At 41.3% G+C, this 23953-nt stretch overlaps 1 protein-coding gene across 4 annotated transcripts in view, besides 1 other annotated feature; it reads left to right on the top strand.

The window, feature by feature from the left end:
- The window catches only part of DSP (desmoplakin), a 45044-nt gene that overhangs the window by 16084 nt on the left and 5007 nt on the right, over window positions 1-23953 (top strand). Inside the window, exons 3-23 of one of the 4 annotated variants that reach the window (NM_004415.4) lie at window positions 362-510; window positions 1472-1646; window positions 4898-5026; window positions 5982-6032; window positions 7605-7766; window positions 8623-8727; window positions 9600-9695; window positions 10027-10152; window positions 10683-10835; window positions 11432-11586; window positions 12683-12809; window positions 13629-13830; window positions 14088-14314; window positions 16332-16498; window positions 16903-17041; window positions 17541-17734; window positions 18540-18702; window positions 19205-19288; window positions 20025-20132; window positions 20710-20808; window positions 21521-23815. In NM_004415.4, coding sequence (NP_004406.2) covers window positions 362-510; window positions 1472-1646; window positions 4898-5026; window positions 5982-6032; window positions 7605-7766; window positions 8623-8727; window positions 9600-9695; window positions 10027-10152; window positions 10683-10835; window positions 11432-11586; window positions 12683-12809; window positions 13629-13830; window positions 14088-14314; window positions 16332-16498; window positions 16903-17041; window positions 17541-17734; window positions 18540-18702; window positions 19205-19288; window positions 20025-20132; window positions 20710-20808; window positions 21521-23815 — 5106 coding nt within the window. Of the gene's footprint in view, window positions 1-361; window positions 511-1471; window positions 1647-4897; window positions 5027-5981; window positions 6033-7604; window positions 7767-8622; window positions 8728-9599; window positions 9696-10026; window positions 10153-10682; window positions 11239-11431; window positions 11587-12682; window positions 12810-13628; window positions 13831-14087; window positions 14315-16331; window positions 16499-16902; window positions 17042-17540; window positions 17735-18539; window positions 18703-19204; window positions 19289-20024; window positions 20133-20709; window positions 20809-21520; window positions 23816-23953 lie in introns of those variants that run through there. The other 3 variants (NM_001319034.2, NM_001008844.3, NM_001406591.1) reach the window with 3 other exon arrangements.
- Window positions 3173-4748: an enhancer, noted in NCBI's record as "VISTA enhancer hs2191". NCBI's record gives its function as "enhancer in: other[5/5]" and the evidence as "EXISTENCE:transgenic organism evidence [ECO:0001131][PMID:17130149]".

Genomic DNA, 23953 nt, shown 5'->3' on the forward strand with positions numbered 1-23953 from the left:
AAGAGGCCCCATCTGTACCACTGTACCATAATGGTACAGTGTCCTTGTCACAATGAGATTCCCATTATATGAGACTTGTGTGTAAATATGAAAGATCAGCATTTAACATACTGAAGCAAGGGGAAGGTTAGCATTCAGCAAATGTGACTTTAAAAGCCAAGTGCAAATTTAAAAGACAGTCCACAAACTTTGGTTCATGAATCTCCGTCTGTTTACCTTCTTATCTCAATAAGATCATTTTCACTGGCGAAACTTACAGTTTTTGTCATGTTTACAGTGGAAGCTCTTGCTTCCATTAATGCCCATGAAGGTTTTCTTCCTGGTAGTATGTGTTTTCCTTCATGTGAGTGTTTTCTTTCAGGAATTGAAGTATGGAGATGGAATACAACTGACTCGGAGTCGAGAATTGGATGAGTGTTTTGCCCAGGCCAATGACCAAATGGAAATCCTCGACAGCTTGATCAGAGAGATGCGGCAGATGGGCCAGCCCTGTGATGCTTACCAGAAAAGGTATTGTCCACAGAGCATGGATCGGGCAGTCCCCATGAAAAAGAACACCACATAACCAGTTACACTCAATTCCATGACCCAGGGCTTCCTTTGAAGGCAGCACAAATGTTCCCAAGGAAAGGTTTGCTTACTTGGTATTTTGCAACTTTATTATGTATCTCTAATACAAAGTGACCATTTCATTATAGGTGTTAACTGTACCTCCCTTTAGAGGACAGAAAGCCCTTTGGCATGGCATTTGACTTTTTTTTTTTTTTTTTTTTTTTTTGAGACAGGGTCTCGCTCTGTCACCCAGGCTGGAGTGCAGTGGCACAAATGTGGCTCGCCGCAGCCTCAACCTCCTGGGCTCAAGCAATCCTCCCACTTCAGCCTATCAAGTAGTTGGGCTATCGGCATGTGCCATACCTAGCAAATTAAAAAAAAATTTTTTGTGGAGACAGGGTTTTGCCATGTTGCTTAGGCTGATCTCGAAGTCCTAGGCTCAAGCAATCCTCCGTCTTGTGCTTCCCAAAGTGCTGGGATTACAGGTGTGAATCACTTAAGGGTCTAATATCAAGTCAAGCTTAGTTTAATAAATATAAAAATGAGACCCTTAGAGTTGGAAACAAAGACTATAAGGCAGAAAAATGTAGTCTGAATTTGTTCTACTACTACCTGGGGCCCAGGGTACTAGGAAAACTCCCAGGACAAAACGCAAGAGAAAATGAAAGTTGCTCCCAGGTTAGGCAAAGGCAGTGACGCTTTCTATGCTGTTACGCACTTTGAACCTCTTCCTAAGATTTAATTTTTTGTATGTGATTAAGACTTAAGTCCTGGGGTAAAGAAAAAAAAATCTTCAAATACCATAAAACATTTGTAGCTTCTCTATTGACACAAAAGACTCAGAAAAGGGGAAATTTGCCCAGAACGGGTTTTCATAGGCTGTTTTCCTGCAGTGGTTTAAAGGTTTTTTTCTTTGCAGGCTTCTTCAGCTCCAAGAGCAAATGCGAGCCCTTTATAAAGCCATCAGTGTCCCTCGAGTCCGCAGGGCCAGCTCCAAGGGTGGTGGAGGCTACACTTGTCAGAGTGGCTCTGGCTGGGATGAGTTCACCAAACATGTCACCAGTGAATGTTTGGGGTGGATGAGGCAGCAAAGGGTAAGCAGCTTCTTGAACAGCCCAAACCTGTGCAGGCCAGACGTTCCAGCACGATGGGGTCAGCCCATGTGTTTGTGTGACAAAGAGTCTTCTAGACCTCAGGTGGCGGCAGCAGCTTGCTGTTTGCAGGATTTTCCTCCTATACAATTTGAAAAGTGGTCTTCTATTTTGGAATGAATGAGATTTCAGTGTGGCTTGGGGAATCAGCCTCATTGCTTTATAGTCATCCTTTATCACACAGGTCATATTTAACATGTGTAATTTAGTTAGTAGACTTTGAATATCCAGTTCTTATATTGACCACCGGAAAGATCTGTTGTGGGAGTTTATGTGCTAAATAACTTCATTGTTCTATGTGAGTGGCAACTGACCTCATCTGTTTTACTCATAGGTACTTGAAAAAAAGCCCATTGTGGCAGTTCATTTAAAATGGTCATAGATTGGAGGAGCTGGAAACAGTGAAACTAGCCATTCTGGTTTAGGCTCATTGGTTGCTTACCTTAGACTTTTGAAGTCTCAGTTGTCTCATTGTGCAACCATCACGTCACCAGTGTGGGAGTGAAGCAAAATAATGTTGGAAGGATATGCTGATCCTTTCCCTAGAACTGGAGTTTCTGCAAAGTATTTTTCAAGACTAATGATTGTTGTGTTGTTTCATGTAGTCATTATGTCCTATAATGAACAGGTGGTGGTAGAAATATGCCACAATCATGTAGATGGGAATTTTATAATGAAAACCTACTCCTAACCCTTCCCTTGAGAATGTGGATGTGTTAGAGTGATAAGTTGTGGAGAGATTGTTATGCAATTTAGATGTGGTTGTAAGAAAGCTTGGTTTGATTAGTTGTTAGACTAATTCAGCAGTGGTTCTAAAATTTCTCAACTCCTTTAAAATTTTTGTGTATTCTTTCCTAAGTAGTGAGGACTTCAGTGACTAAACATTTATTCATTCATTCAGTTACCTTTTTCTCCCATTTATTATAAAGAATATAAGCTATTACAGAAGGTAAGGCTTAGAAAGAACAAAAGTCAGTTAAAATATCAGAAACCTAAATACAAATCTATTTGTATGTTTTTCAAATTTCCTTCTAATCTTCGAGCACATTTCTTGAGGATTTTATATGTAGTGCCACCCAAGGGTACAAAGATTATGGTCCCTAGTCCTGAAAATGAATGTTATCGAAGAAAACAAGATGCATACGCTCAAATGCCAAATTTCTGTCTAGATCAGCTATAATACATTCTTGCTTAGTTAGAGGGGAGGGTGGCCAGCTCCTGTGGAGTGGAACAGTCACAGGAAGACATAGCGGAGCTGATGGGGCTTAACTACATCTTAAGGATCCACAATGATGGGCAAAACAGCCTTCCAATCAAATTAGTTTGAAATGTCATATCTCCTAAAGTTTTCTTAGTATGACAGTTATAAAAAAAGACAGCCTGTAATTTGTCATTTTTTTGTATTTATGTTGGGTGTAGCTTAAGAATGTAGTAAATGCTCAATGTCTTTAAATTTTGGAAAAGTATTACCACATGAATTCAGTTTTATGTCATTTTCTTTTTTTTTTTTTTGAGAGGGAGTCTCACTCTGTTGCCCAGGCAGGAGTGCAGTGGCATGATCTCGTCTCACTGCAACCTCTATCTCCCGGGTTCAAGCAATTCTCCTGCTTCAGCCTGCCGAGTATCTGGGACTACAGGCGTGTGCCACCATGGCAAGCTGATTTTTTGCATTTTTAGTAGAGACGGGGGTTTTGCCATATTGGTCAGGCTGATCTCGAACTCCTGACCTTGTGATCCGCCCGCCTTGGCCTCCCAAAGTATTGGGTTTACAGGTGTGAGCCACCACGCCCAGCCAGTTTTATGTCGTTTTCTAACAGAAGCAATTGATAAGCGATGCTTTCCGGGTTAGGCACGCAGCCCTCATGGTTGCAAACAAACTAAAAGCTGTTTGATTGCTTACTGCAGGTTCGCTCTGGGATTTGCTGTGGCTCCTTTCCTCTTATCGCTTGTTCCCCTGCATGCTTTACCTCATTCCCAGGAGACTGAGCTGCAGGGCCCAGCTGATAAGGGAACTGTTGCCCCAGCAGCCAGTCAGGAGGCAGGCACTCCTGAGCCAGGTTTTTGTTTTGTTTTCCCGATTTGTGTTTGCCGATGGACAGGTCAGATACGATACACCTGGCTGGTAATGAGACGCCTGAGCTGGAGCCTGGTCACGTTGCTAATGTCCCACTGCACGCACCTGGCTGTCTCTGGTTTAAAGCCGAGACAGCTGTGGGAGAGAAGGGTCAAAGTCCCGGGTAACCTTCTGTTGTCTGACTCTGAAATGGCTCCCCTTTCTGAAGCCTTGCCAAGTGTATTAGAACATGGATGTGGCTTAGAACAATGTGTTTTATGTTCTTGCTGCAATCCCAGATTGGAATGTTTGCCCTTGGCATGTCCAAGAGATGACACAGGTGATTTGGAAATTTACATGTACTCATGCAAAAGAAGGGTGAGATAATGGACTTGCCCCAGTGTGGAACTGGCGGAACAGTGTGTGTGATTCTTATTGTGAAACATTCTTAAATTTGAGGCTCAAATAATAAATTTAGTCAGATTTAATTTTTTAAAAAAGGTAACTTAAGTCCACAATCCTAATATTGCCAACACTCATGGAAATTGAATCCTTGAGTAGATATAGTGACTTCCCTTTGAAGTGGCCCATAGGGAGTTTTGCATCCTAAAAGGGAATGGTATATCCTGGATTTTAAAAAGCCAATAATTACATCCATCAAGACAATATAAAGAAATAAACAATGAAAGATGCTTTTAGGTTGACTATTTAGTTTGGGGAACAGTGTATGATTGCATTTATTTAATGATTTTTTTATGCACATTTAAGAATGATTAAATGAGTATTTTATAACATATCATACATATATATGCACACATATGTTCTGTGCACATGCTTGCTTGCCTGTGCACAGGTAGATTTGGTTTTTTTTTTTTTTCAGAAGACATGATCTTGGTTTTCAGGTTCCCATTTCTAAATTTCCTTCTCTGCCCATCTTGAGCTGGGGTCAAGCAAGTTGAGGGAAGTATTTGGCAACCCTGCATTAGCCATTTGGGAACCTTTAAAAAATATTCTGGCTTCAAAAATACTCCATATTTACATCTTTGGTTCTATCTGAAGTAAAGCCGTGATGGTGTGCGTAAGTGAAACAGGTGCAAAGGGGCAACAACAAAGGGCGCCTCTCTTTGTCTTTGTGTCGCAGGCGGAGATGGACATGGTGGCCTGGGGTGTGGACCTGGCCTCAGTGGAGCAGCACATTAACAGCCACCGGGGCATCCACAACTCCATCGGCGACTATCGCTGGCAGCTGGACAAAATCAAAGCCGACCTGGTACTTGTCTGTGTTTCATTTTAGAGTCTTCAAAATATCTACCGAAGGATCGTGTAATTACTCAATCCCAGGGAGTTTCTTCTGAAACATTGCTATTATTTCTTTCCCAGAAGACTGGAAATGTTTAGAAATCCCACTTCTTAAATGGGGAAGTGGAATCAGTAGCCCTATTAGAGATTATGTTAACACTTGAAGAGGAGTTAAACCAGAGGCTGAGGTTGTGCAAACACTCATTTGCAGTTTGTGAATAAGTCTCTTTAGGGGTGGCAGTTTGTTTCTGCGGTAAGCAGAACATCTTTTTGAATAGGGGAAATGCAACAGTCTTATACAGTAGTTTGTGTCATTGGTGAATCCTTTCCTAGGTGGTAATTAAAACATTATTTCTACTGAGCAAAGCCATATGTCATCCCGACACCCGCTCCCATGCTGAAAAAAGTCAGACTTGAAACTGGGTTGAGAATTACAGCATAAAATCATAACTGATCTTAAGTGCTTAGTTTCCCGCAGGTCTCTACACTTGTAAATCACTAAACTTTTTTTTTTTTTTTTTACCTGAGACCATAGCTTCTCATCCTCATTTCTTCTTCTGGCTTTTTGGGGCTTACTTTTGTCCACCTGAGCCCCTGACCAACTTTCTCCTTCATTTCTCTAAGACCTAGGGAATCCTAAATGATGTCTTTAAACTTTAAGACAATTTTCTAACACGTGAGTCTTTAAGTGACCCTGATCTGGGCTTTCCTTTGTGGAGACGGTGCTGCCAGGCCAGCAAGGGTTTGCTTTCCAACCGCCTAGGAAAAAGTCCCCATGGGTGAAATATCTCATAGAGCTAGTAATTCTTTCTTTCTATGGAGGGATCTGAGGCCAGTATCTGAAGAAAAGGAGGCTTAGAAGGGCCACTCTTTTCTATACAATCCACAAGGGGATTTATATCTACCTGCTTTTTGTTGTCTTCTAGCGCGAGAAATCTGCGATCTACCAGTTGGAGGAGGAGTATGAAAACCTGCTGGTAAGCTGATTTATTTCTCAAGTGCATCGACTTTCTGTTGTTTCCAATTCAATTCAGTTCAAGAAATATCAAGCACATCCTGGCGGGGAGGCACCTGTTCATCGATGCTAATGTTGTTGCTGCTGCTGAGTTTCCTTTAGAAGTGAATTTTAAAAGTTGTTTTCTTTTCTTTTTTTCTTTTAAGTAGAGACAGGGTTTCACCATGTTCACCATGTTAACCAGGGTGGTCTCAAACTCCTGACCTCAAGTGATCCGCCCGCCTTGGCCTTCCAAAGTGCTGGGATTACAGGCGTGAGCCACTGCGCCCGGCCTAAAAGTTGTTTTCAGAAGTCAGTCCCTACTGCTGTTCTGTTTTCAAGTTGTGTCACATAAATGGCACTTGTTAAGTACTTGCAGTTGAAGCAAGAAAACGTTGCCACTTGTGAATTGTGGTCTTTTTTACGAAGTGTAAGCAAAAATAAAAGTTATTTTTCTCAAGATAGAGGTCTACCAGATCGTCATCACAATTTTATGACACTCAGTCATATCAGTTACTTGATTCATAAGAGGAGAGATTTCCATTCTTTTGCCTATTTGTGTCATCATATCTTTACTTTTTAATGTTTCCTTGTTGGCAATGATACTTTTTAAATAATGTCACTCGTGGTGACACAGTGATTTTCCTATTGGGCTGGGGTGTGACTTATGGCACTTTGAATTTTTGGGGAGAAGGTAGGAAAAGCTTGATTTCTCTAACAGTCCATTTTCCCCCTTATAGTCCAAAACTAATTATTGATGGGTACAAAAATACAGTTAGATAGAAGGAGTAAGTTCTAATATTTGATAGTACAATAGGGATATTATAGTTAATGATAATTTATTGTATATTTCAAAATAGCTTGAAGAAAATATTTGTAATGTTCCCAACACACAGAAAAGATAAATGTTCGAGGTGATGGATATCCCACTTATCCTGATTTGATCATTATACATTGTATACATGTGTCCAGATATCATGTGTACCCCCAAATATGTACAACTATATCAGTAAAAAATACCAAAAAAAGACCTTATTTAGAAGAATAAAAAAAATTTAAGGCCAGGTGTGGTGGCTCACGCCCATAATTCCAGCACTTTGGGGGGCCGAGGTGGGCGGATCATCTGAGGTTGGGAGTTCGAGACCAGCCTGGCCAACTGGTGAAACCCCGTCTCTACTAAAAATACAAAAATTAGCAGGACGTGGTGGTGCATGTCTGTAATCCCACCTACTCGGGAAGCTGAGGCAGGAGAATCGCTTAAACCCGGGAGGGGGAGGTTGCAGTGAACCGAGATCGCTCATGCCACTGCACTCCAGCCTGGGAGACGAGAGCGACAGTCCGTCTCAAAAAAAAAAAAGTTGCTGCCTTCTTGTTCATTGCAGATTTGGATGGGTCTTTTCCCATACCAGGTGGTCAGTGAATGCACAAGGTTAACATTTTTCCTATCCGTGTGATTTTTTTTTTAAAGGGACCACAGGTTTAATCTTTAAACCTGCAGAGAACACCAGTCACTGCATATTGTTATTTTAATGCTGCCTTTGAACCTCCTGTGCAGAAAGCGTCCTTTGAGAGGATGGATCACCTGCGACAGCTGCAGAACATCATTCAGGCCACGTCCAGGGAGATCATGTGGATCAATGACTGCGAGGAGGAGGAGCTGCTGTACGACTGGAGCGACAAGAACACCAACATCGCTCAGAAACAGGAGGCCTTCTCCGTAAGTTCACCCCACGCGGCTGTAGATGCTTGTCTTGAGCCTGTTGCCTTGAAGAGCTGGGGTCTCGGGGAATGATTGGTCTATTAATAATTTAATCAGCCACTTGCAATTCAGCCTTCTTTGAAATGGTCGTGAAAAATCCTTCCTTCCTGAAAACTTCTCCGTGTGGAGGCCATTATCCTTAGCAAACTTATGCGGGAACAGAAAACCAAATACCACATGTTCTCACTTAGGAGTGGGAACTAAATGATGAGAATACATGGATACATCGAGGGCAACAACACACACTGGGGCCTTTCGGAGGGCAGAGGGTGGAGGTGGAAGGAGGGAGAGGATCAGGCAAGATAACTAATGGGTACTAGGCTTAATCGTGGGTGATGAAATAACCTGTACAACAAATCCCTGTGATACAAGTTTACCTGTGTAACAAACCTGCACATGTATCCCTGAACTTAAAATAAAAGTTAAAAAGAAAAAGAGGGGCAATACCTTGTTTAATATCCCAGAAGACCGTAGTTTGTTTAGAGAGGATAAGAACTGGTACGTTCAGATAACCCAGGATGTGTGTGGCACTGCAGGAGGGTGGGTGGAAGCCTGGGATTAGAAAACCTCAGGATGGATGTAGCTCTTCTTTCCTCCTGTGTCATCTTGAGTAAGCCTCTGCCACATCCTCTCCTGTAGCAAACATCCTTTTCAGCCTTAAAAATGCTGTGATTCTTGAGGAAAACAGCGTGATTCTTTGGCATTGTTCATTTCCAAAATGCAGTTTTGTATTTCACTTTTAAAAAGTACTGTGGGGGTGATGGAAGTTTAATGATGACTTGCTGCAAAGGATTTCTTATTTCTTCATTCACAGATACGCATGAGTCAACTGGAAGTTAAAGAAAAAGAGCTCAATAAGCTGAAACAAGAAAGTGACCAACTTGTCCTCAATCAGCATCCAGCTTCAGACAAAATTGAGGTAGGCTTCATGAGGTTTATATTTTTGTTAGAAAAAAAAAAACTTTTCATAAAGTAAGACTAACCAAATGAGTAATTCTTATATGACTTAAAGCCGTGCCAACTTTATTTTCTATTTTGGGATCAATACCCTACACCAGGGGTTGGCAAACTCTTTTCAGGAAAGGACCAGACAATCAGTATTTTAGACTTTCAGGCCATTTGGTCTCTGTTACAATTACTTAACCCTGCTATTATAGTGCAGAAGGAGGCATAGACACTGTGTAAATGAATGAGTGTGCCTGTATTCCAATAAAACTTTATTTACAAATAGAAGTGGGCCACATGTGGCCCTTGAGCTATAGTTTGGTGACCGCTGCCCTAGACTGCCATCTTTGGGCCACGCTCAAGGCTGACATTAGCTGGTACCACTGGTATGGCCATACTGCTTGTTAAAAAACACAGAAAGTTCCATATCAGTTGGTAAGAATCACTGTCTTGAGCCCCCTAAGCCCTTTGCTTGGATGCCTCGAACCTCCCCATGATTCAGCAATCCTCCAGGAACAGGGCTCGGTGTGGCAAAGGGATGCCACTCCAGTGCTAGCCCCAGTGACAGTTCTGATTGGTCAGTATCTCTGCTATTTGGGTGATACATATTTTGACTAAGACTCCTCATGGTGTCTATTTGTGAAAGCTGATTTTAAAATTTAGTTTTGACCATACCAAGAGATATATGGTGAGAAATTCTCTTTCCAACTTTTAGAAAAATATCTGCTTGACTTAGAATGAGATAAAAACTGCTTACTAGCTTTCATGCAGGCTCACCTATCTCTTGGTGTTCATGCATCTGTACAACTGAGCTAGGCTAAGACAGCTGACATTTTCTTGTTTCAGGCCTATATGGACACTCTGCAGACGCAGTGGAGTTGGATTCTTCAGATCACCAAGTGCATTGATGTTCATCTGAAAGAAAATGCTGCCTACTTTCAGGTTTTTATATTTAGTGATAATTTTGTTGTTATTTAGGTCTTAATACCTAATCTTTTGAGTGTGTTTTATAAAGCACTGAAAATAATCTTCAAAATGTTGCATAAATCCTCTTCATTGATTTTGAGTGCAGAGTAGCATAGATTTGCAACCTTGCCATCAGTCCTACAAATAGTTTCCCGCTGCCACATACCTAAATACTTTCTGCACGAATTTTTTCCTTTAGCCACCTGTCAAAGAGATGTTTAGGGATGACAATCCTTGAAACAGAACTACTAGATGAAATTGCTCATTGAGTTGCTGTTCATTCACTGATCACTCTCATCCTTCACAGTTTTTTGAAGAGGCGCAGTCTACTGAAGCATACCTGAAGGGGCTCCAGGACTCCATCAGGAAGAAGTACCCCTGCGACAAGAACATGCCCCTGCAGCACCTGCTGGAACAGATCAAGGAGCTGGAGGTATCGTCTCAGACCCAGAACCTCAGCAGCTGTGCCTGATCAGGGAGATAAAACACATGCCTTGGATGCAGTTGGCTCTGATTAGTATTATTGTACAATGCACGCCCAGAGCCAAGCAAGCATTTTCTTCAGCTTCCAGTGGCTTTTCTCAAAATTAACTTCTTTACATGCCCAACTACTCTTGACAGTTACTTTTGCTTCAGTCTGGGCAATTGGTTGAAAATAAGAACAGAGAGAACATTACTTCACATGACAATTCCTTTGGGAACGCATACTTCAAATTTTATCAGCATAGCCCTTTCACACAAGGATGTTCTTCCCTGCCCACTTAATTCCTGCCTGCATAGCTTCTGGAGAGTGTTGTCATGAAAGGTTCTCATGTTTCCTGCCGACGAATTTGTGATTTTTTACAATTGATGCAACTGCAGTGATACTCAGTGTGTCATGTAGCTACATTAATGCAGGTTGAAAATCTCCTCTAAAACTCACAGGGTATCTATGTTTAAGTATGATTTTATTCACCATTGCAGAAAGAACGAGAGAAAATCCTTGAATACAAGCGTCAGGTGCAGAACTTGGTAAACAAGTCTAAGAAGATTGTACAGCTGAAGCCTCGTAACCCAGACTACAGAAGCAATAAACCCATTATTCTCAGAGCTCTCTGTGACTACAAACAAGATCAGGTGTGTACTCATTTAGAATGATACAAAAGTTTTCCCTGTCTTTACACACAAATTTTTGTCCATCAAGAAAGCAACATTTAATCTAGAGTTCAATAATCACCACAGTCAATGTCTTTGATCTATGAAATCAGCAGCTATGGAACAAAAGCAGCAGCTCTGTTCTGAATCATATGGTAGTTGTCAATAACAAGGACAGTAGTTATTTTTAGAACTTTTAAAAATTCGCAAGGCTTAATACTTTTCTTCTAGTATGTCAAAGTTGTCTGTGATCACTCTCATCTTTAAATTTCTGATAAAAGAAATGAGAAATGATGCTTTTATGTTGCATATAAAGTGAATGTCTCTCACTATGGGTGACACAGTGAGACCAAATAAATAAATAAAATGTAGCTCACTTCATGTATACCTTTTAGGCTCACATGTATTATTTAAAGCATCGGTATTGTTGGGTTGTATGATGATCAGCTTCATTTGAGGGGAAAAACGTAAAAGCTTTAATAATTCGCATGTGTTCATCTCTGTTTCCATCATTGAGAAAAAAAATAAAAACACATACTTATGAATAAAGCCAAACCCTGGGGTTGCTTGCCTTACAGAAAATCGTGCATAAGGGGGATGAGTGTATCCTGAAGGACAACAACGAGCGCAGCAAGTGGTACGTGACGGGCCCGGGAGGCGTTGACATGCTTGTTCCCTCTGTGGGGCTGATCATCCCTCCTCCGAACCCACTGGCCGTGGACCTCTCTTGCAAGTAAGTCATCCAAGTTCCCAAAGCCACGCATGCACGCATGAATGTGAGGGCAGAGGAAGAGGGCAGGTGTTTATACCTGAAGCTTAGACACACGATGCCTTGCCATAATAAACACCTTCTAAAAAAAGGAACCTTGTGAAGGTCACCTTCACTTTGTCTTGCAATTTTATGTTGAATAGACAGTCGTTATTGAAGAATAAAAGGGAATATCTGGCCGGGTGTGGTGGCTTATGCCTGTAATCCCAGCACTTGGGGAGACCGAGGTGGGCGGATCACCTGAGGTTAGGAGTTTGAGACCAGCCTGACCAACATGGAGAAACTCTGTCTCTACTAAAAATATAAAATTAGCCAGGTGTGGTGGTACATGCCTGTAATCCCAGCTACTCGGGAGGTTGAGGCAGGAGAATTGCTTGAACCTGGGAGGGGGAGGTTGCAGTGAGCTGAGATCGTGCCACTGCACTCCAGCCTGGGCAACGAGAGCAAAACTCCATCTCAAAAAAAAAAAAGGAATGTCTGACTGTAGTGGGGCCAGAGTGAATAATACTTGTCATGCACTTCAAAGGCATCATTTTAAGGTTCTCCTTTTCTTAGAAAATCAGTTGTTATACATGTAGCTACAAATATAAAATGCCTTTAATATCAATATTCACTCATTGTAGGAAGAACATTCGTTTAACAGGTTGTCCATGGCAGATTCCTTTAAACCATTTAGTATCGAAATCTTCAACCACACACTGAATAGGGAGAGTAGTGTAGTAAGCTGCTGTGTGCTCATGACCAAGCTTTGGGTCATTGGCATCTAATGCACCTGCCATCCTGCCTTAGACCTCTGTCAATTACAAAGTTGCCGAAAAACAAGACAACAACAAAAAGTTGTAGTATATATGTCAGCCAATAATGTAGATAATTCAGAATGTACTTTTGGGGAGTAAATGAATCCAAATCCATGAACTGTTTTCAAAGTTATACCTCTACCTGTTACTTTATCAGTGACTGTTGTAGGTTTTTGTGCAGTGGTGTGAGCGTGTCCAGGTTTCCCATTTGGGATGAAGTGTGAAAGCCTGGCTCTAGCATGTTTTCCCTTTGTGCCTCTTAGGATTGAGCAGTACTACGAAGCCATCTTGGCTCTGTGGAACCAGCTCTACATCAACATGAAGAGCCTGGTGTCCTGGCACTACTGCATGATTGACATAGAGAAGATCAGGGCCATGACAATCGCCAAGGTATGTCCTCAGGGCCACTTAGGCTGCCTGGAGGGAGGGCAGCGCTGCCCCCCGCAGTGCCTGTGTCCAACAGTTCAACCTTCTTGCTGTGTAGCAGTGCTTTTGTGTCTCGTCAAGCAAGTCAGCTCAGCCCTCCTTAGAGGTTCTGGTCTGTCCAATAGAGAACAGGAGGGATTAGCATATGGCTGATTATGAGAGAAAGAAGCAATACTAATTCAGGTGGCCTGACAAGCAAGCCAGAAGTGCCTGTGGAAAAGTCATGCACTCCTGTAAGATTCTGGACCCTATGCTCCTTTGATGTAATGGAAAGTTAGGTCATAAAGGATTAACTGGGTATCACAAAAGTAAAAGGTGGGATAGAATTCTTGGAAGAGCACCCAAAGCATTACTTACTCTAAATCAGTTGTTTTCAGATCATGGTCTGAAGAATCCTAGCAGGAGAGGGAGATCCTTTAGGAGTGACAGGGATGGAAGTGAGGAGAGGGGCACAGAAAGTACCTTTTGGGGTCCCCCGAGCCCTTTTTCTCTTTGTAGTTGGAGCAGCTTTGCTGGGCTCTGCTTTACATTTAGGGCTTCTGAATAATATTTCGTTGAAGAAAAATATTCTGTAGGCAAAAAAAAAAAAAAAAAATTAGCAACCCATTCCTGTGGCTCTTGGGAACAATGTCTAAAACCTAAAAGACCTTTTATATCTTAATGAGCCTGTGATGAGTGTTGCTTTGAGTCCCATCTAGTGGGTGGCATTTTTTGGCCAACTCTTCTTGATTGCATTGTGGGGCAGTCATAAATCCCAAATCACTTCTGCCTGTCTCCTTTCAGCTGAAAACAATGCGGCAGGAAGATTACATGAAGACGATAGCCGACCTTGAGTTACATTACCAAGAGTTCATCAGAAATAGCCAAGGCTCAGAGATGTTTGGAGATGATGACAAGCGGAAAATACAGTCTCAGTTCACCGATGCCCAGAAGCATTACCAGACCCTGGTCATTCAGCTCCCTGGCTATCCCCAGCACCAGACAGGTCGGCTTGGGACATCTTTCTCTTTGTATCAACCATCCATACCATTTTAAAAAGAAGGGAGTTTGCATAAAACTGGTTTCAGAACCATTTCTCTGAATGCTATATAGCCAGTGTTCTTCGTGCACTAAATTTTCAGAATTGATTCTGAAATTCAAAGGAAGAAGGTATACTTTTAGGTAGTATGGATGTTTTTTGAGGCCTAGCACCTTGATACCTAGGTATTCTCTGATTTTTGTGGCCCTAACTTCTTTTTACAGTGACCACAACTGAAATCACTCATCATGGAACCTGCCAAGATGTCAACCATAATAAAGTAATTGAAACCAACAGAGAAAATGACAAGCAAGAAACATGGATGCTGATGGAGCTGCAGAAGATTCGCAGGCAGATAGAGCACTGCGAGGGCAGGATGACTCTCAAAAACCTCCCTCTAGCAGACCAGGGATCTTCTCACCACATCACAGTGAAAATTAACGAGCTTAAGGTAGGTATCTGCTAGTATTTTGCCTGGTTACCCTGTATATTTTTATTTACCTGTAAATGAATAAAAAAAATCCTGGTTTAAATGTTTGTAGGCAAAAATATTAACTTTCAAGAAAACAGGCTTCTGGCAGGATTTCCTTATGTATTATGTTTCCAAATTTGTAGACGGTTATCAGGCTGGGGGTTAAACTGTTCGTTTGTGTGTTGTTGAATCAGGCTACCGTCCATCTCAAAAGTTTTCACAACCATTAATTTGGCTTCTTGCAGAGAACAACCTATGATATGGGTTAGACAGGGGGAATGATCTTTATTTGTAGACATGACACTGACATGAAGAGATTTGGTTGGTGAGATACGATCTCAAAGCCATAGACAGAGTGTGACTATGGCCCAGGTGTGTCAGCTCCTAACTCAGTGATGTTTTCTGCTCAACCAAGCCTGGGCACACTGCACTGGAAGGCCTAAATAGAGATATTCTAAGAGGATCACATTTACAGTGCTAATGAGGCCATACTCAAGAAAGAAATAGAAGGTCAACTCCTCTCTCTTCCTTGAATCCTTTACTTTTAGTGGACTTTTTAAGGGCAAAAATGATCATAAGATTCACACAGCTACAATGCAGAGTACTAACCTCTGTGTGATCAGTATGCCAAAATTGGAATGTAGTTGTGTTGCTTAATGACCGGGGCACATTCTAAGAAATGCATGGTTAGGCGATTTTGTCATGCAAGCGCCATAGAGCATACTTACACAAACCTAGATGGTATAGCCTACTATACACCTAGGCTACAAACCTGTAGGGCATGTGACTGTCCTAAATACTGTAGGCAATTGTGACACAATGGTAAGTGTGTATCTAAATATATCTAAACGTCGAAAAGATACAATAAAAATACAGTATTATAATCTTACGGGGGCTGGATGCAGGGGCACATGCCTGTAATCCCAGCTACTTGCTTGAGCTCAGGAGTTGGAGGCTGCAGGGAGCTATGATTGTACCACTGTACTCCAGTCTGGGCAACAGAGCAAGACCCTTCTCTTTAAAAAAAAATGTGTGTGTGTGTGTGTGTGTTTATATGTATGTATGTACATATGTGTGTGTGTATATATCTTAAGGGACCACCATTGTGTATACAGTTCATCATTGACCAAAACATCATTAGTAGACACATGACTATACACACACACAGTGGGGTACTATTTACCTTTAAAAAAGAAAGAGATCCTGGGGCCAGGTGCGGTGGCTCACGCCTGTAATCCCAGCACTTTGGGAGGCCGAGGCGGGTGGATCACAAGGTCAGGAGTTCAAGACCAGCATGACCAACATGGTGAAACCCCATCTCTACTAAAAAGTACAAAAATTAGCTGGGTGTGGTGGCGTGCGCCTGTAATCTCAGCTACTCAGGAGGCTGAGGCAGGAGAATCGCTTGAACCCAGGAGATGGAGGTTGCAGTGAGCTGAGATCACGCCATTGCACTCCAGCCTGGGCGACAGAGCGAGACTCTGTCTCAAAAAAAAAAAAAAGAAAGAAAGAGATCCTGCCATTTGCAAAAGCATGGATGAATGTGGGGGACATTATGCTAAGTGAAATACACCAGACACAAATACTGCTTGATTTCACTTATGTGTAAATTCTAAGAAAAAAGTTGAATGCAGGGAAACAGAGAGTAGGATGGTGATTACCGGGGTGGGGAGGGAGGAGGAAATGGGAAGATGTAAAGGATACAAACTTGCATTTGTGTGGGATGAATAAATCTAGAGATCTAAATTCAGCGCAAGACTACAGGTAGTAATCTTGTAGTGTATATTGAAATTTTGCTGAGAGTAGATTTTAGGTGCTCTTACCACACATACAAAAAAAGATAACCATGGAAGTTGACTGATGTGTTAATTTACTTACCTGATGTAATCATTTCACTGTGTCTATGTGTATTAAAACAGCATATTGTACACCTTAAATATATACAGTAATAAAAAGAATCAGCTAAATCAAAAGAGCTTTCCTTCATTTTTGACAGAGTGTGCAGAATGATTCACAAGCAATTGCTGAGGTTCTCAACCAGCTTAAAGATATGCTTGCCAACTTCAGAGGTTCTGAAAAGTACTGCTATTTACAGAATGAAGTATTTGGACTATTTCAGAAACTGGAAAATATCAATGGTGTTACAGATGGCTACTTAAATAGGTAAACTCAGCTAACACTAATCTCATATTTTCCTTTTCTCAAGCTTCTTTTTCTGGGTCTTCATTTGCTTTAGATGCTTGCCTTACAGTTTCTCTGTTACTAGAGATTTACTTACATCCTTCTGTGGTTTGGAGAGCATGTTAATTCCGCTAGCCTCGCATGTTAATTCCACTATTCTGAACTATAATGTTATCTTAGAACTAAGTTATGCTCTAAGGGCCAGAACTTGAGAATTCTTCAGCGAATACAAAATGTTGGTCTGAATCACAATAGACCAAAAAACAGACAAAATAAATTTTTATCTGCTTTGACGTTGTTCCCTTTCATTACTAGCTGTGAGAGGCAAATCTTCACAGACTAATTATGTCACTGGCAATTTTATGTGCTTCTTTTGCTCTTTCCAGCTTATGCACAGTAAGGGCACTGCTCCAGGCTATTCTCCAAACAGAAGACATGTTAAAGGTTTATGAAGCCAGGCTCACTGAGGAGGAAACTGTCTGCCTGGACCTGGATAAAGTGGAAGCTTACCGCTGTGGACTGAAGGTAACTTGAAAGCTTATAACAGTGGCCCAACTTACAGGAACTAATTCAGATCTGAGCTCCCAATTATAAAGCCTCACTGGGTTTTCATGAGTTTTGAGGATTATTGGGTTTCAGTGGCCACACAGGTTGACATCAGTTGTCATCTCTGTAACTCTGTTTTCCAGACTGTGTTAGCAGGAACTATATAAGAAAGTAATTCGTGATGGGATTAGTTTGGGGAATGCTGAGTTAAACTGGTTTCTTTACTGTGGGACTTCTTAGAAACTTTAATATGTTCATATTATTATTATAACAGGATAGCACAAAGAACAAGATTATTGGAACAAATACTGGGAAATGCAATTCAGTAAATATATTTCCCTGGATTGACTGTTAACACTTTAAATTATGAATATTCTAAAGTGTTTTATAAACTTTGCCGCCCAATTTGGTGACTTGTAGTGTAGCATACAATGGGAGAAGGGATTAATTTGCAATCTTTTTTTTTTTCATCTTGCAGAAAATAAAAAATGACTTGAACTTGAAGAAGTCGTTGTTGGCCACTATGAAGACAGAACTACAGAAAGCCCAGCAGATCCACTCTCAGACTTCACAGCAGTATCCACTTTATGATCTGGACTTGGGCAAGTTCGGTGAAAAAGTCACACAGCTGACAGACCGCTGGCAAAGGATAGATAAACAGATCGACTTTAGGTATGCCAGCCTCCTCCCGCTCCTTCCCCATCTTCTCCCCTTTTGGTTGTTCACAAGATAATGTCACTTGAAGGGAACCACTGAAGAAAACAGAGGTTTTGTTTTTTGTGTAAGTTAGGCGTAACAGATGCTCTTTTCATGGACTGCCTGTATGCAGCTTTGTTAGAAATGGAAGGAGAATGCATCACGATAGCCAACCCTGTGCAGGCCAGGTGCCATCCAGGGTCTTAGAGAAACGGCAGAAGCCCTTTAGCCAGCTCTTTTGTGTCCTATAAACTCTTGTTATGACTCTTGGAAGGAGTAGCTGCCTTGAGTTAGCATTCTCCAAAAGTTTATGAAAATTAAATCTTAGACCAAAAAAAATGCCTTTCTGCAAATAAGAGTTTAAAAAATCTCTGGAATATGAATCTGCCTATTCTGGAAATTTTATATGACTGGAATCATACAATATGTAGTCCATTGTGACTGGCTTCTTTCACTTAGTATCGTGCTTTCAGAGTTCATCTGTGTTGTATCATGTTTCAGTACATCATTTTCTATTTTTTTCATGTGTTTTTATGATTGAATAATATTCCATTGTTTGGCAGTGCCACATTTTGTTGATCTTTTCATCAGTTGATACCTGAGTTGTTTCCAGTTTTTGGCTGTGATAAAAAGTGCTGCTATGAACATTCATGTATAAGTTTTTATGTGGGAATATGATCAGTTTTCTTGGGTATATATCAAGTGAATTTCTGGGTGATTCTATGTTACATATTTTAGGAACTAATAAGATAATGATTTTATTGTATCTATTTCCCCCCAGGTTATGGGACCTGGAGAAACAAATCAAGCAATTGAGGAATTATCGTGATAACTATCAGGCTTTCTGCAAGTGGCTCTATGATGCTAAACGCCGCCAGGATTCCTTAGAATCCATGAAATTTGGAGATTCCAACACAGTCATGCGGTTTTTGAATGAGCAGAAGGTATAAGCCAACTTTTTGTTCCATAGCTGTTTTGAGATTAATTGGGTGTAATTCATGTTTTCCTCTGGTTTTTGTATCAGTGCCTAGGTTTGAAATGATGAATATTTAATATTACTAACCCATTTTGTGAAGGCTTAAAGAATGCCCAGAGGAAAAGCAACTGAGATGTTTACAAGGAAATGCAAATTATGAACATAGAAATAACGTGATATTGTTCTCTTCATGTTATCATAAATTATCTTTATAAATTGAGGGGATAGGCCCAGAAAACAGGCTGACTAGAAAGTAACCTCTTACAGATAGTAAGTTAAAGGGCTTGCTTCTCTTCTCTGAATGGAAAAAATGCTCATCTCCTAAGCTGTAACTATAAAAATATGAGACAAGTACATGTAGTAATAAACTGAAAAAAGGGTACAAATAACAGTGGTAAAAGAGTGAAATCACATTTATTTAAAAATATTTGTATGCATTAACATTGGTAAATATTTCACTTTTTGTATAGAACTTGCACAGTGAAATATCTGGCAAACGAGACAAATCAGAGGAAGTACAAAAAATTGCTGAACTTTGCGCCAATTCAATTAAGGTATGTTGGTTTCATAAAGAATGTTGGTATTTCACCAAGATTATTATTAACTGCATGACTTGCTGATTTGTTGTAAAGCGTATACACTTCCTGAGGATAGCAATTACGGTCTGTATATATTCTTTTCTGAACAAACCATAAAAATTAAAAATCTATTAGCTTGAATTCATTCCACATTGGCAGTATCCATTTGAATGGCTGGTTTCTATTCTTTGACTGGTGGTAGGTGCTGCATTCTCCATTTAGCATACAAAGATGTACTGCTTGGTTTAATAATGGTGTTTGTTTGTTTGTTTGTTTGTTTGGAGAGAGTTTCGCTCTTGCTGCCCAGGCTGGAGTGCAGTGGTGTGATCTCGGCTCACCGCAACCTCTGCCTCCTGGGTTCAAGTGATTCTCCCGCCTCAGCTTCCTGAGTAGCTGGGATTACAGGCATGCACCACCATGCCCGGCTAATTTTATATTTTTAGTAGAGACAGGGTTTCTCCGTGTTGGTCAGGCTGGTTTTGAACTCCCGATCTCAGGGGATCTGCCCGGCTCGGCCTCCCAAAGTGCCAGGATTATGGGTGTGAGCCACCACGCTAATGTAGTATTAGTTGCTTGGCCACTAGTGGCGCAAAGTCTTTGGAGTGGGCAATTAGACGTGCAGCCCAATGATTTAAAACTGTGGAACTGTAGCTGTTAGTGATGCTTTTTAAGTCTATGAAGGACACTTTTCTTAAACTTCATTATGCTGCAGGATTATGAGCTCCAGCTGGCCTCATACACCTCAGGACTGGAAACTCTGCTGAACATACCTATCAAGAGGACCATGATTCAGTCCCCTTCTGGGGTGATTCTGCAAGAGGTATATATGTCATCACATATCTCTTAAAACCTGCCCCTCCTTCTGCTTCTTCCCTTTTCCCTGTCTCCTGCCTCTTCCCTTTTCCCTGTCTCCTGCCTGTCTTCCTTACCATTGCTGATTTCATCCCATTACAGGGTACCACTTTAAGAGGTTTAATAGCAGGTTATGTGCCCTCCAGTGTGAGTCATTGATGTATGATACATTTTCAGAAATGATCAGGAATGTGTTATTTAGAGTCTTTGTAGAAATTGGGCTTAAATTTCTGGGTTTGATGAGAGAGACTTCTAAAAAGTGGAAAATACAGAAATTTCTAAAAGACAGCCTCTTCTCAAAGATGTCAGAGACTATCGTACCTGTCAGATGGTTTAGGGGAAACAGCCTGGAGAGATGAGAATGGGATACATTTTTGGCCCTTTGTTTTGCTGTACTTTCTTTTGCTGATTTTGGAATGAACACACTAAAGAAGAGAATTCACTCTTTATAATTTCACTATTTTAGAAAACAAAATCGGTCAAATTACATAGGACTTTTTTTTTAATGCAATATCTTTTTCTTTCTTTCCTTCCTTTTCTCCAAGGCTGCAGATGTTCATGCTCGGTACATTGAACTACTTACAAGATCTGGAGACTATTACAGGTTCTTAAGTGAGATGCTGAAGAGTTTGGAAGATCTGAAGGTAATTTATACTGTCTTTTCTTGTAGCGTCAAAAAAGAAAATAGAATAGAACCTTATTATTACTTCCACATTATAACATGGATTTGGACACATCCTGGTGAAACTGTATTTCCTCTAAAGGTTTAGTGTAATACTGCTTGTTTGTAAGTCTGGGGTTACTTCCATGCTCCAATACGCTGCTTTAAATGAACTTAAGTAATAGTCATAATATTGCAACAACTTTGCCAAACAAAAGTCACTTGATTTAATGTTTGGTTAAGGAATTTGCTTTATTTCTCTGTGTTAAAGATAACATCTTGGACTAGGTATATTTGAATTTTTTATATTCAGTGATTGTTCCCTTTATTCCTCATTTATGATACTTAAATTGAGATTATATGTAAACTTATTTTAATGTAAACTTGAAATAAAGGGAATATAATTTATGAAATCATAAGCTTTTGATTTTGAAAGAAATTACCTCATTTTACAGATGAGGTAGCTCAGACTCAAAGATAATATATCATTTGCTAAGAGCATATGAGCAGCTGGTGCAAGAATTATGATGAGAATCCAGATTTCTTGAATATTTGCCTAGTCACTCTTTGCATGTATGTCCATGTGTGTAAAGAGAAATAAGAATGCACATTGGTCTGGGAGGGGAAAAGTACTGCTTCTTTCTTGGAATGTGAGGTGTTTTTCTTTTGACATAATCTCTGATTTCATTCCACAGCTGAAAAATACCAAGATCGAAGTTTTGGAAGAGGAGCTCAGACTGGCCCGAGATGCCAACTCGGAAAACTGTAATAAGAACAAATTCCTGGATCAGAACCTGCAGAAATACCAGGCAGAGTGTTCCCAGTTCAAAGCGAAGCTTGCGAGCCTGGAGGAGCTGAAGAGACAGGCTGAGCTGGATGGGAAGTCGGCTAAGCAAAATCTAGACAAGTGCTACGGCCAAATAAAAGAACTCAATGAGAAGATCACCCGACTGACTTATGAGATTGAAGATGAAAAGAGAAGAAGAAAATCTGTGGAAGACAGATTTGACCAACAGAAGAATGACTATGACCAACTGCAGAAAGCAAGGCAATGTGAAAAGGAGAACCTTGGTTGGCAGAAATTAGAGTCTGAGAAAGCCATCAAGGAGAAGGAGTACGAGATTGAAAGGTTGAGGGTTCTACTGCAGGAAGAAGGCACCCGGAAGAGAGAATATGAAAATGAGCTGGCAAAGGTAAGAAACCACTATAATGAGGAGATGAGTAATTTAAGGAACAAGTATGAAACAGAGATTAACATTACGAAGACCACCATCAAGGAGATATCCATGCAAAAAGAGGATGATTCCAAAAATCTTAGAAACCAGCTTGATAGACTTTCAAGGGAAAATCGAGATCTGAAGGATGAAATTGTCAGGCTCAATGACAGCATCTTGCAGGCCACTGAGCAGCGAAGGCGAGCTGAAGAAAACGCCCTTCAGCAAAAGGCCTGTGGCTCTGAGATAATGCAGAAGAAGCAGCATCTGGAGATAGAACTGAAGCAGGTCATGCAGCAGCGCTCTGAGGACAATGCCCGGCACAAGCAGTCCCTGGAGGAGGCTGCCAAGACCATTCAGGACAAAAATAAGGAGATCGAGAGACTCAAAGCTGAGTTTCAGGAGGAGGCCAAGCGCCGCTGGGAATATGAAAATGAACTGAGTAAGGTAAGAAACAATTATGATGAGGAGATCATTAGCTTAAAAAATCAGTTTGAGACCGAGATCAACATCACCAAGACCACCATCCACCAGCTCACCATGCAGAAGGAAGAGGATACCAGTGGCTACCGGGCTCAGATAGACAATCTCACCCGAGAAAACAGGAGCTTATCTGAAGAAATAAAGAGGCTGAAGAACACTCTAACCCAGACCACAGAGAATCTCAGGAGGGTGGAAGAAGACATCCAACAGCAAAAGGCCACTGGCTCTGAGGTGTCTCAGAGGAAACAGCAGCTGGAGGTTGAGCTGAGACAAGTCACTCAGATGCGAACAGAGGAGAGCGTAAGATATAAGCAATCTCTTGATGATGCTGCCAAAACCATCCAGGATAAAAACAAGGAGATAGAAAGGTTAAAACAACTGATCGACAAAGAAACAAATGACCGGAAATGCCTGGAAGATGAAAACGCGAGATTACAAAGGGTCCAGTATGACCTGCAGAAAGCAAACAGTAGTGCGACGGAGACAATAAACAAACTGAAGGTTCAGGAGCAAGAACTGACACGCCTGAGGATCGACTATGAAAGGGTTTCCCAGGAGAGGACTGTGAAGGACCAGGATATCACGCGGTTCCAGAACTCTCTGAAAGAGCTGCAGCTGCAGAAGCAGAAGGTGGAAGAGGAGCTGAATCGGCTGAAGAGGACCGCGTCAGAAGACTCCTGCAAGAGGAAGAAGCTGGAGGAAGAGCTGGAAGGCATGAGGAGGTCGCTGAAGGAGCAAGCCATCAAAATCACCAACCTGACCCAGCAGCTGGAGCAGGCATCCATTGTTAAGAAGAGGAGTGAGGATGACCTCCGGCAGCAGAGGGACGTGCTGGATGGCCACCTGAGGGAAAAGCAGAGGACCCAGGAAGAGCTGAGGAGGCTCTCTTCTGAGGTCGAGGCCCTGAGGCGGCAGTTACTCCAGGAACAGGAAAGTGTCAAACAAGCTCACTTGAGGAATGAGCATTTCCAGAAGGCGATAGAAGATAAAAGCAGAAGCTTAAATGAAAGCAAAATAGAAATTGAGAGGCTGCAGTCTCTCACAGAGAACCTGACCAAGGAGCACTTGATGTTAGAAGAAGAACTGCGGAACCTGAGGCTGGAGTACGATGACCTGAGGAGAGGACGAAGCGAAGCGGACAGTGATAAAAATGCAACCATCTTGGAACTAAGGAGCCAGCTGCAGATCAGCAACAACCGGACCCTGGAACTGCAGGGGCTGATTAATGATTTACAGAGAGAGAGGGAAAATTTGAGACAGGAAATTGAGAAATTCCAAAAGCAGGCTTTAGAGGTATTCACAAATACTTGATCACAGCTTCACTGTTTCTCAAATTATTCATCACATTATTATCTCATCTGAACTGTGCTCTTTCTGCTTAAATAGATGCTTATAGAAAATCTAATTTTTCTTTTTATTGCTCTACTACTT

Source organism: Homo sapiens, chromosome 6, assembly GCF_000001405.40.
Source record: "Homo sapiens chromosome 6, GRCh38.p14 Primary Assembly".
NCBI classification, from domain to species: domain Eukaryota; kingdom Metazoa; phylum Chordata; class Mammalia; order Primates; family Hominidae; genus Homo; species Homo sapiens.